We start from the raw sequence: 13,738 nt of genomic DNA, 5'->3' as shown, positions 1-13,738 counted from the left end.
TCCCTTACTTTCAGTTTTTCCCTTGTTAAGATATGGAAAGTAAGAAAGAGGATAATTTGAATAAAGGTGGGAAGACCAAGTCTTGGGCAAATTTCTCCATTGCTTTTGCTTATATTTTCAACTTGATGTGAATAAAAACTCCAGTCTTTTAAGGTAATATTAATGCCAGGATTGTAGCATGTCTTTCCATTATATCAACTCTGTAATCACCCTTCATCTTTCCCTGTTCGGAAGGGAAAATACATACCAATGTTTGCGACAATGCTGTGTAACTGGTTAAAGTTTTCCATTTTTTCAGGGGTTTTAACTTTTTAAAAATTCCACATCATTATGATCCTGTCAAAAACTGAGAACTTTGAATGCTCTAGAAATGCTCCAGGGCAAAAATTCACATTTGATTTGAAGGAAACTTTTTTTGTTTGTTTGTGTATCTCAATATTATTATAAATACTATGCAGCACCAAAAATAATGTTTGTTTCTTAATTCATAACATATAGTGAGACCATACAGTTCACTATCCACATTTCATAGGTGAAAAAACAGAGTTTGAAATAGCTCAAAAAGATGAGCCCGCAGGCAGGGATTCATGTTGCCTGAGTGAACACTTTGGCTTCTGATTCCCAGTGCTCTGGCTGATGCCCCTCCACTAACAAGGAGGGTGCTGAAGGCAGGAAAAAGCTGGGCATTTACCAAAGGCCTGGCTGGAAAAAGAGTATCTCTGTGTGGCTAAAAAATCCAGCCCAGAAGAGATGGTCAGTACAAGTGGGCTGGGAAAATAGGGAGAGGTCTGAAGATGGACTCAGATCAAAGAACCAAGAATCACAGGGCAAGAACTGGTGAATGACACCCCAGACAAAGAGGAGATGATCTGGGTTAATTCTAAAGATCTGAGTGGATGGGTTTGGTTTATTAAAGAGACCAGGGGAGGGCACACAACTATGTTAACTCCTAAAACCCAGAATTATGTAATATTTTAGAAATTAAAGATAAAAATATGAATCTACCACCTCCTTTGAGCCCTAAATTATAATTATAGTGGGCAATAATCTTAAAACTACAAAAGGTGAGTGAGCCCTTTCTTTGTTCCCATGTAACTCATATGATTGGCTTTATCAGTTTACGGGCTCAAAAGCAGTCACAGTGCTCCTAGTTTAGCAGTTAATTGTTTTAGCCTCACCTTCAAGTTTTCAGCAAGTCCAATGACTCAATCTTGAGCCTCTTCCACTTCCCAAGTCCATAGCCCGTATGAATTGCCAAGAAAGTCAGGTGACTACTCAGTTCAAAGAAGTCTGTCTTGATTCCAATCACCAGGTAGCAGAGACTCGTTTTCGTTGTTGCCATCGGTCCCTCACAGGTCAACGAACATTGTCTCCTGCTGGGCTGATGCTCTTGCTTTCCAGACCCTGCCCAGGCCTCAGTATTGCCACACGGGGCTTTAAGGAGTACTACAATCTGAATGCTTTCCCCATAATTCATGTGTTGGACACTTAATCTCCAATGCAACAGTGTTGGGAGGTGGAGACTTTTACGGGGTATTTAGGTCATGAGGGTTCTACCCTTGGGAATAGATTGATACCATTATAAAAGGGCTTGACAGAGAGTTTGTTCCTTTTTTGCCCTTCTGCCTTCGGCCATGTGAGGACACAGCATTCCTTCCCTCTGGAGGATGCAGCATTCAAAGAGACACCTTGGAAGCAGAGACTGGGCATTCTCCAGACCCTGAACCTGCTGGTTCTCTAATCTTGGACTCTCAGCCTCCAGTCCTGTGAGAAATACACTTATGTTCTTTTAAAATTACTGAGTCTCAGGCATTCTGCTATAGAAGCACAAAATAGACTAAGACAAGGAGAGAGGTGGCTGGTTCACATGTTCACAGACATTCCAAAGGCTGAGTTCAAGGTCAGAGGGGCTCACTGGGAAGGCTGTTCAGCCTTAGCCACATGGTACAGATCTCCTCCTTGCCCCATGAACCTATCAGAGTAGGCTCCTCATCTCTTATAATGTGCTCCTCTCTGGGTCCAGTTATTCCTTCAAACTGCAAGAAAATCTCAGCCAGAGTCATCCCAATGCACCAGAAAGGGTCTAATGACACCAAATTTAAAAAGACTCTCCCAGGAGGCATTTATGCAAACTTACCTACTTCTTCTCAAGCAACCAGCTATGTACATCAGGAGTTGTTGGGGGAGTCTCGTGGTCATGTCACATTAAGATTCTGTTCACCCATCTGCTGGGGTAATGGGTGCCTATGTACCTTTTGTTTGCATAACTATGTGGAGTTCATGCGAATGGCTATTTTGAAAAACACAATCCCTTGTGCCCACCTATGCCAGGGAAGTGTTGGCTGCTTCATGTGCTGCCTGAAGTTCCTACATCTCTACCCCATTAAGCATTTTGTTATAACTAGAACACCAAATCTAAATTCATGTAAAGCCGAGTGGATTTGGCCTTACGATACATTCATCTTGGAATTCAGGTATGTCTGAGCCTGTCTTGAAGGCCAACAGGGTGGCCTGAAATGGGCTTATTTGCCTAAAGGACTGAAGAGCCTTCTGGGAAGAAAGACCTCATCCAAACATACACAATTCCATATCCTCAAGTTTGGTTCAAGAACAAAAGATGAGACTATGTGTGGGGGCTCATGCCCATAATCCCAACACTGAGGCAGGAGGGAGGATTGCTTGAAGCCCAGAGTTGGAGATCAGCTGAGGCAATGTAATGAGACTCTGTCTTAAATAAATAAACAAACAAACAAACAAACAAAAGACAAAACAAAGGAAAAAAGTGGAAGGTCAAGGGAGGGAGTAGACGAAAGGGTTTGCCACTCAGAATGTCCTTCAGTCCAACCTCCATGGATTTAATTCTAGGGCAGCAGGCAGAAGGGGCTACAATAAAGTGTGAATAAAAACTAAGAGAGTTGTTTTACCCAACTTGGTAGACCTTAAGAAACCTAAGACAATGCTTTCCAGAAAAAAATGGGAGAGGAGAGTTTTGTCTGACATCGAATGCTTTGGTGGAAGCAACAGGGCCTTGACAATATCCACAGCTTCAGGGCATCACCATAGTGAGCCAAAGAGAACAGAAATGGTAAGTACTAAGAAGAAGCAGAGAGTGAATTAGCAAGCACACATGACCTCTTGCCTGGCCTGTCAGAATTAACTGGGAGGAATTTCTGCAAAGCAGGTAGGAGCACAAGAGAAATACTGTTTTCTGTGACTGTTACTGGGACTCTACTTGTGCACCCCAGTCTGGGCTGGGGACCCAAAGCCTAAAATATAGATGAAGTTGAAATGTTTGTTCTTTGGAACCCCAGCAGGCCTTCTGTATTCTATTTGTTTTCTATAGACAAATATGTTTCAAAGACTATTTGACAGGAATTCCTGGAAATGATAGCAGATGCTTGGGTGCTGCAGGGAGGAGAAATTAATCTGGAAAGTGGGCATATATTGTTGGGTAAGAATCAAACACTAGGAACTGAATGATGATGATTGCTTTGTCTCATCTATGGTAATCTGTACTAATGCCTGAGGCTCAAGGTTCTAGCAGGTGCTATTCCCAAAGTTTTCTACCATGTGGAAATGTCAACCTTTGAAAACATTTGCTTGCAAATTTCTCTGAAAAGAGTCTGTACATCATATACTGAGTTTACATGTTTTCATTGGTTATAATTTAAACCAAAGGACATTTCTCTTTGTGATTTTGACCAGTATTATATTTTACTTTTTAAAGGGCTGTTATTCATTTTTATTTTTGCGTCTTTATTGTCTTTACTGAATAAACTTTTAGAAGATTCTATTCTTATTTCTCTTTTATCTTTCTGTTATAAGTGAAGAATAGGAAGAAGAAATAGAAGAGTATCAGATATAAGGACAAACATGGTCCCCGAAGGGAAGGCTGAAACTTTTTATCTCTCAGAAAGAAAATAGTCATTATTGTTGTTATTACAGAAGTAGCAATACTACTTACGTCAAAAATTCAGAAAAATATAAAAAGATATAAAGGAAAAGTAAAAATTATTTCCAAATCATACCGTTTAGAAGAAAATCACTATTAATGTTTTAGGAAACAGCTTACTTGTGTCTCCATATAAATACATACATACAGAGAGAGAGAGAGACAGAGAGAGAAATAACCTTTCTAAGTCCCTCAAGCAAAGCCTGGTACTTGAACCACTGACTAAATGTTGTCACCTTGGGCAGATAGACAGATAAGCAAACCTGTGTTTCAAAATTACCCATAACGCAGCAGCTCCACAGATCAAATTAACCACACAGGACAGCCCTAAAGATTGCTCATGAAAATTGCTAGAACCACATTGTTATCTTGTTTCCAGAACAATTCAGAACATCCGTGAGGAAACTCATAAACTATAAAGCATTGTCTTTGACGTATATAGTCATCTGATAGGGGCCACAGTTCCTGAGTGGCTCAAAATACCACAGAAGTGGGTTGGGAGCCTTTCTACCCAGGGAGAGTCCTTTAACTCATTTTCCTGCCTGATACTGGAGAAAGTCCAAGTAGTTTTAGTTTACCTCCACATTTGGAGGTAGGCATCCTTGAAAAACTCCAACAAAACTTTTGAAATCAGTTGCTGGCTCAAGGTTTTACCAGATCTCTCTGCCCCAAAGTTTTCTACCATGTGAAAATGTCAACCTTTAGAAATATCTGCTTATAAGTCAGGATAAGCGGACTTATTTTTCATCAAAGCAGGAATTTAAAAATAAAACAACATGAAACAAAATAAAACAAAAACTTGTAGTAATGAAGAAGAGGATTACGGCTGATATTATTCCCCCAGTGACTTTCAGGATAGGAGTGTCATTCCATCTTAGTGGCAGCATAGAAACAGATGGACTTTGGTGGTAACATGATTCTGAATCAAATCTCACTTATTTAGGGCCATATAACTATATTCTATACAATATTTTGGACATACTTATACTAAAGAAGTATTTGTTATTTAATTAAAACTCAATTTTAACTAGCCATCCTATATTTTAAAGTGCTAAATCTGGCAACCCAGCGCTCACTTATCATGTGATCTTGCACAATGCACTTTATTTTTCAGAACTGCCAGCTCTACATATGTAAGACGTGGGATAATAACTCTTAGATTATTGAGGAGAACCTAGCATTTGTTCAGTAGATATTTACTGAGCACCTAGTGTGGAGGGGGCTCTGGCCAGGGAAACAGCAGCACCTGTTCTCCTGAAGGTTACATTAAACAGTTAATCATACAATGGGTTGCTTACTTTAAATCGTACCATCACAATTTAAGGTAAGTAACCCATTGTGTGATTAACTGAACAGTATAGAATAGTATAGGGTGCTCTGAGATGGGAACCCTATATCTATCTGGTTAGAGAAGCTTTCTTTGTTGGATAGGTTAATTGGTTCGATTGTGGTAATCATTTTAGAGTGTGTACATATATCAAATTACCATATTGTATGCCATAAATGTATACAATTTTTATTTGTCAATTATACTTCAATAGATTTGGAGAAAAAAAGAGAAACCTTCTTTGAAGAAATGACACCTGAACTTAAATGCATATATCCAAATATGTGCACTTGGGGTATGTGAAACTCAACATGTCCAAAACTGAATTCGTACCTTTTCTTCCAAGGCTGCCTTTTGTCCAGTGTTCTTAAACTTCAGTTAAAGGGGCACCACTCATCCATTGCCCATGCCAGAATCCTGGGAGTCATTCCGAACTCACTGGACAATCACTGTCTATAGCAGTTATTTTATCAAGTTTTGCCAGTTTATCTTCCAAATATTCCTCAAATATGTTCCCTGTTCTCCGTCTCTCTTGCCACTTTCCTATCGCTTTTATGGCTATTTTGATAGCTTCCCAACCAGTTAATATGCTGCTAGTTCTGCTCCCTTTAAGCCTAGGTTTTTATACTTGAATTAGAGGTTATTCTCTTTCTCAACTTAAAACAAAAATGTTTCAGCGACTTCCATTTACCAAAAGCCCAAACTTTCACAAACTGGTTCCTACATATCCTACACTGTTTTTCCTCCACATTTGTATTCTAGTAACACTGAACTACTTGTTTCCCACATGTGCCATCATGTTTCATGTATCTGTGCCTTTATTCGAGCTGTAACCTCTGCTTGGTATTCTCCCTCCTTAATCAACTCTTACTGCCCTATTAGCATCTCCTCCTGGTAGTCTTCTCAGGGTTGAGCCAAGTGCTGGCAATAGACAGACCACACCAGATGCCTGCCAGATGCACTGACCCACTTGGGAAAGCCTCAGAGTTTCTGCCACCACACTCAGAGAGGACTATTAGCCTGAGTTGCCATATGCATTAACACAGGACCACCACCATGGTTACAGTTGATTGCATCAGGGAGAGCCACCAGATTCAAATATAGCCAACAATAGACTATCCCTTACCCGTGAGGCCTATCATATGAGCAGCTCTACTTAATCTACCAGTGTGCTCAGCAGGGGAAAATATGGCCCAATCTAGGCTGAGCCAACTCTCTTGGGGAGTTTGAAGGTAGAACACTCAGCATCAGTATCAGCAGCCAAGAGTGTGGACAGAAGCCAAGAGACACAAACAGGAGGCGATAACAAAAGCCACAGTAGAGCTGAAGCCGTGAGTAAACAAAAGCTATAAGGAAATTAGGGTCAATTATTGTTAGCAGCAAAAGTAATGAAAGCACCAACAAGATGCAGCTGAGTTCCCACAATGGTGGAGCAGTCTAGTAGGGAGCAGCCAATACCTGCTACTTAGAGAAAAAAAAGTAAAATTGGCAGCCACTGCAGCAGCACTATATCCTGAATGTGCTTGCTGTGCCTGTTGTTCTGGATGTCTGACTGAGTAACGGCAGTTGTTTCCAGAATGAAACACTGGTTCTCTTGAACCAGTCTTCAAGAGACTGCTGTGTCTGAATGCTCCAGATTTGCCACATGTTCTTATAAGAATCTCTTTTCTCCTTAGGTAACTGACACATGCTATTTGCAACTTGTAAGAACTCAAATAATGCAGTGCCTTTCTGCCAGTTTTCCCCACACTCTGAACAGCCTGTGAAAACCTGTATATCATCTCACCATGAGAATACTGTTAGCAGTGTTAGTCCCAGATGCAAAACATTACTTGAGAGGAAGGGAGTCACTACAAGATGATAAAAGGGTCATTTCACCAGTAAAACATAACTATTTTAGGCATAATAAACACATAAAATAAAACCACTCTCATACTCTTCTGGCATATTTCATATAAGTACAGGTCTTTTAGAGAGAAATTTTGACAATATATGTCAGTAATAATTAGATACCTACTATTGGTTGAATTGTGTCCCCTTAAAAGATACGTTGGAATCCTAACCCCGATATCTGTGAAAGTGATGTTATTTGGAAATAGGATTTTGCAGATATAATTGGTTCAGATAAGGTCATACAGGATTAGAGTGATCCCTAAATCCAGTGACTGATGTCCTTATGTAAAGATGCATAAAATAGAACATTATGTGAAGACGCAGACAAAGACTGGAGTGATGCATCTACAAGCCAAGGAACACCAAGGATTTTTGGTAACCACCAGAAGCTTGGAGAGAGGCACAGATCAAACTCCTCCTCAGAGCCCCCAGAAAGAACCAACTCTACCAAAACCTTGATTTCAGACTTCTAGCCTCCAGAACCATGAGAAAATAAATTTTTCTGTTATTTTAAGCCACTCAGTGTGCAGTATTTTGTTATGGCAGCTCTAGGAAACTTATACATCTCAGCCCCCAAACTAAAAGAAACCCTTCTTGGGGAGCTATTCCAAACAAAGAGTTTAAAAACAGAGAAATGTTTATATGATGATCATGTCCACCCTGGTGTTATTTGTAAGAAGAAAAAACTGGAAATAACAAAAAGTATAATATGAGATAGCTAAATAAATTATGCTCATGAAGACTATATATCACGAAAAATGTTTACGATGTAATGCTTTGTAAAAACAATTTAATAACAATTTTATGTAAGGTGTGATTACGGTATGTAAAGTACGCCAACTTAAAAAACTAGAATGAGATGTAAATGTTAATAATCGTTAGGTCAGGTCAAGGTCTTAAAGGGAAGTTTTCTTCTCTCATTTTCAAAATGTTAGAAATGTACTCACATTTCTTAATTTTAAAAAAAGAAATATTTTAAAATGGCCAAATGCATTACTATTATCAAAACACAAATACAGTTAACATACATATGGAATTCACAAAGAATGTATTACTCATTCACATTTCTATTGAACAATAAATTTATATTATCCAAACTTCATTATCTCTATTTAAAATTTGACATTAATGGACTTTATTTTTAAACCTTATGCCGAATTCTTTCACTTAACATACTACCCATTGCTTTTTCTAGGATTTATAAGACAAATGAAGAGTTGTAGAAGATCTCTGTTCCATTGACGACACTACCCTTCAGAGACAGGAAAGTTTCTCTCTCTTTGTGAAATATAGGTTCCAAAAGAACATGTCTATGCTGGTCATCATTGTTTCCCAGCCCCTAACCCAGTGCCTGGCACATAGGAAGTGCTCAATAAATATCTGTGGACTGGAAGAATAAATAGATAATGGAATAAATGACCTTTAGATAATAAAAAGCTGCATGCCTCTCAGCTCACTGCAGTAGTTGTTCTTTTTATTTTATTTTATTATTATTATACTTTAAGTTTTAGGGTACATGTGCACAATGTGCGGGTTAGTTACATATGTACACATGTGCCATGCTGGTGTGCTGCACCCATTAACTAACTCATCATTTAGCATTAGGTATACCTCCTAAAGCTATCCCTCCCCCCTCGCCCCACCCCACATCAGTCCCCAGAGTGTGATGTTCCCCTTCCTATGTCCATGTGTTCTCATTGTTCAATTCCCACCTATGAGTGACAATATGCGGTGTTTGGTTTTTGGTTCTTGCGATAGTTTACTGAGAATGATGATTTCCAATTTCATCCATGTCCCTACAGAGGACATGAACTCATCCTTTTTTATGGCTGCATAGTATTCCATGGTGTATATGTGCCACATTTTCTTAATCCAGTCTATCATTGTTGGACATTTGGGTTGGTTCCAAGTCTTTGCTATTGTGAATAGTGCCGCAATAAACATACGTGTGCATGTGTCTTTATAGCAGCATGATTTATAGTCCTTTGGGTATATACCCAGTAATGGGATGGCTGGGTCAAATGGTATTTCTAGTTCTAGATCCCTGAGGAATCGCCACACTGACTTCCACAAGGGTTGAAATAGTTTACAGTCCCACCAACAGTGTAAAAGTGTTCCTATTTCTCCACATCCTCTCCAGCATATGTTGTTTCCTGACTTTTTAATGATTGCCATTCTAACTGGTGTGAGATGATATCTCATTGCGGTTTTGATTTGCATTTCTCTGATGGCCAGTGATGATGAGCATTTTTTCATGTGTTTTTTGGCTGCATAAATGTCTTCTTTTGAGAAGTGTCTGTTCATGTCCTTTGCCCACTTTTTGATGGGGTTGTTTGTATTTTTCTTGTAAATTCGTTGGAGTTCATTGTAGATTCTGGATATTAGCCCTTTGTCAGATGAGTAGGTTGCGAAAATTTTCTCCCATTCTGTAGGTTGCCTGTTCACTCTGATGGTAGTTTCTTTTGCTGTGCAGAAGCTCTTTAGTTTAATTAGATCCCATTTGTCAATTTTGGCTTTTGTTGCCATTGCTTTTGGTGTTTTAGACATGAAGTCCTTGCCCATGCCTATGTCCTGAATGGTAATGCCTAGGTTTTCTTCTAGGGTTTTTATGGTTTTAGGTCTAATGTTTAAGTCTTTAATCCATCTTGAATTAATTTTTGTATAAGGTGTAAGGAAGGGATCCAGTTTCAGCTTTCTACATATGGCTAGCCAGTTTTCCCAGCACCATTTATTAAATAGGGAATCCTTTCCCCATTGCTTGTTTTTCTCAGGTTTGTTAAAGATCAGATAGTTGTAGATACGTGGCGTTATTTCTGAGGGCTCTGTTCTGTTCCATTGATCTATATCTCTGTTTTGGTACCAGTACTGTGCTGTTTTGGTTACTGTAGCCTTGTAGTATAGTTTGAAGTCAGGTACCGTGATGCCTCCAGCTTTGTTCTTTTGGATTAGGATTGACTTGGTGATGCGGGCTCTTTTTTGGTTCCATATGAACTTTAAAGTAGTTTTTTCCAATTCTGTGAAGAAAGTCATTGGTAGCTTGATGGGGATGGCATTGAATCTATAAATTACCTTGGGAAGTATGGCCATTTTCATGATATTGATTCTTCCTACCCATGAGCATAGAATGTTCTTCCATTTGTTTGTATCCTCTTTTATTTCATTGAGCAGTGGTTTGTAGCTCTCCTTGAAGAGGTCCTTCACATCCCTTGTAAGTTGGATTCCTAGGTATTTTATTCTCTTTGAAGCAATTGTGAATGGGAGTTCACTCATGATTTGGCTCTCTGTCTGTCTGTTATTGGTGTATAAGAATGCTTGTGATTTTTGTACATTAATTTTGTATCCTGAGACTTTGCTGAAGTTGCTTATCAGCTTAAGGAGATTTTGGGCTGAGACAATGGGGCTTTCTAGATATACAATCATGTCATCTGCAAACAGGGACAATTTGACTTCTTCTTTTCCTAATTGAATACCCTTTATTTCCTTCTCCTGCCTAATTGCCCTGGCCAGAACTTCCAACACTATGTTGAATAGGAGTGGTGAGAGAGGACATCCCTGTTTTGTGTCAGTTTTCAAAGGGAATGCTTCCAGTTTTTGCACATTCAGTATGATATTGGCTGTGGGTTTGTCATAGATAGCTCTTATTATTTTGAGATACGTCCCATCAATACCTAATTTATTGAGAGTTTTTAGCATGAAGGGCTGTTGAATTTTGTCAAAGGCCTTTTCTGCATCTATTGAGATAATCATGTGGTTTTTGTATTTGGTTCTGTTTATATGCTGGATTACATTTATTGATTTGCATATATTGAACCAGCCTTGCATCCCAGGGATTAAGGCCACTTGATCACAGTGGATAAGCTTTTTGATGTGCTGCTGGATTCGTTTTGCCAGTATTTTATTGAGGATTTTTGCATTAATGTTCATCAAGGATATTGGTCTAAAATTATCTTTTTTGGTTGTGTCTCTGCCCAGCTTTGGTATCAGGATGATGTTGGCCTCATAAAATGAGTTAGGGAGGATTCCCTCTTTTTCTATTGATCGGAATAGTTTCAGAAGGAATGGTACCAGTTCCTCCTTGTACCTCTGGTAGAATTCGGCTGTGAATCCATCTGGTCCTGGACTCTTTTTGGTTGGTGAGCTATTGATTATTGCCACAATTTCAGAGCCTGTTATTGGTCTATCCAGAGAGTCAACTTCTTCCTGGTTTAGTCCTGGGAGGGTGTATGTGTCGAGGAATTTATCCCTTTCTTCTAGATTTTCTAGTTTATTTGCGTAGACGTGTTTGTAGTGTTCTCTGATGGTAGTTTGTATTTCTGTGGGATTGGTGGTGATATCCCCTTTATCATTTTTTATTGCGTCTATTAGATTCTTCTCTCTTTTCTTCTTTATTAGTCTTGCTAGTGGTCTATCAATTTTGTTGATTCTTTCAAAAAAACAGCTCATGGATTCATTAATTTTTTGAAGGGTTTTTTGTGTCTCTATTTCCTTCAGTTCTGCTCTGATTTTAGTTATTTCTTGCCTTCTGCTAGCTTTTGAATGTGTTTGCTCTTGCTTCTCTAGTTCTTTTAATTGTGATGTCAGGGTGTCAATTTTGGATCTTTCCTGCTTTCTCTTGTGGGCATTTAGTGCTATGAATTTCCCTCTACACACCGCTTTGAATGTGTCCCAGAGATTCTGGTATGTTGTGTCTTTGTTCTCGTTGGCTTCAAAGAACATCTTTATTTCTGCCTTCATTTCGTTATGTACCCAGTAGTCATTCAGGAGCAGGTTGTTCAGTTTCTATGTAGTTGAGCGGTTTTGAGTGAGTTTCTTAATCCTGAGTTCTAGTTTGATTGCACTGTGGTCTGAGAGATTGTTACACTTTCTGTTCTTTTACATTTCCTGAGGAGAGCTTTACTTCCAAGTATGTGGTCAATTTTGGAATAGGTGTGGTGTAGTGCTGAAAAAAATGTATATTCTGTTGATTTGGGGTGGAGAGTTCTGTAGATGTCTATTAGGTCCACTTGGTGCAGAGCTGAGTTCAATTCCTGGGTATCCTTGTTAACTTTCTGTCTCGTTGATCTGTCTAATGTTGACAGTGGGGTGTTAAAGTCTCCCATTATTAATGTGTGGGAGTCTAAGTCTCTTTGTAGGTCACTCAGGACTTGCTTTATGAATCTGGGTGTTCCTGTATTGGGTGCATATATATTTAGGATAGTTAGCTCTTCTTGTTGAATTGATCCCTTTACCATTATGTAATGGCCTTCTTTGTCTCTTTTGATCTTTGTTGGTTTAAAGTCTGTTTCATCAGAGACTAGGACTGCAACCCCTGCCTTTTTTTGTTTTCCATTTGCTTGGTAGATCTTCCTCCATCCTTTTATTTTGAGCCTATGTGTGTCTCTGCACATGAGATGGGTTTCCTGAATACAGCACACTGATGGGTCTTGACTCTTTATCCAATTTGCCAGTCTGTGTCTTTTAATTGGAGCATTTAGTCCATTTACATTTAAAGTTAATATTGTTATGTGTGAATTTGATCCTGTCATTATGATGTTAGCTGGTTATTTTGCTCATTAGTTGATGCAGTTTCTTCCTAGCCTTGATGGTCTTTACAATTTGGCATGATTTTGCAGTGGCTGGTACTGGTTGTTCCTTTCCATATTTAGTGCTTCCTTCAGGAGCTCTTGTAGGGCAGGCCTGGTGGTGACAAAATCTCTCAGCATTTGCTTGTCTGTAAAGTATTTTATTTCTCCTTTACTTATGAAGCTTAGTTTGGCTGGATATGAAATTCTGGGTTGAAAATTCTTTTCTTTAAGAATGTTGAATATTGGCCCCCACTCTCTTCTGGCTTGTAGAGTTTCTGCTGAGAGATCCACTGTTAGTCTGATGGGCTTCCCATTGTGGGTAACCCGACCTTTCTCTCTGGCTGCCCTTAACATTGTTTCCTTCATTTCAACTTTGCTGAATCTGACAATATGTGTCTTGGAATTGCTCTACTCGAGGAGTATCTTTGTGGCGTTCTCTGTATTTCCTGAATCTGAATGTTGGCCTGCCTTGCTAGATTGGGGAAGTTCTCCTGGATAATATCCTGCAGAGTGTTTTCCAGCTTGGTTCCATTCTCCCCATCACTTTCAGGTACACCAATCAGATGTAGATTTGGTCTTTTCACATAGTCCCATATTTCTTGGAGGCTTTGTTCGTTTCTTTTTGTTCTTTTTTCTCTAAACTTCCCTTCTCGCTTCATTTCATTCATTTCATCTTCCATCACTGATACCCTTTCTTCCAGTTGATTGCATCAGCTCCTGAGGCTTCTGCATTCTTCACGTAGTTCTCGAGCCTTGGCTTTCAGCTCCATCAGCTCCTTTAAGCACTTCTCTGTATTGGTTATTCTAGTTATACATTTGTCTAAATTTTTTTCAAAGTTTTCAACTTCTTTGCCTTTGGTTTGAATTTCCTCCGGTAGCTCGGAGTAGTTTGATTGTCTGAAGCCTTCTTCTCTCAACTCGTCAAAGTCATTCTCCGTCCAGCTTTGTTCCATTGCTCATGAGGAACTGCGTTCCTTTGGAGGAGGAGAGGTGCTCTGCTTT

The sequence above is a fragment of the Homo sapiens genome, chromosome 4, assembly GCF_000001405.40.
Source record: "Homo sapiens chromosome 4, GRCh38.p14 Primary Assembly".
Classification (NCBI taxonomy): Eukaryota; Metazoa; Chordata; class Mammalia; order Primates; family Hominidae; genus Homo; species Homo sapiens.
Note: the sequence above shows the minus strand (reverse complement) of the source record.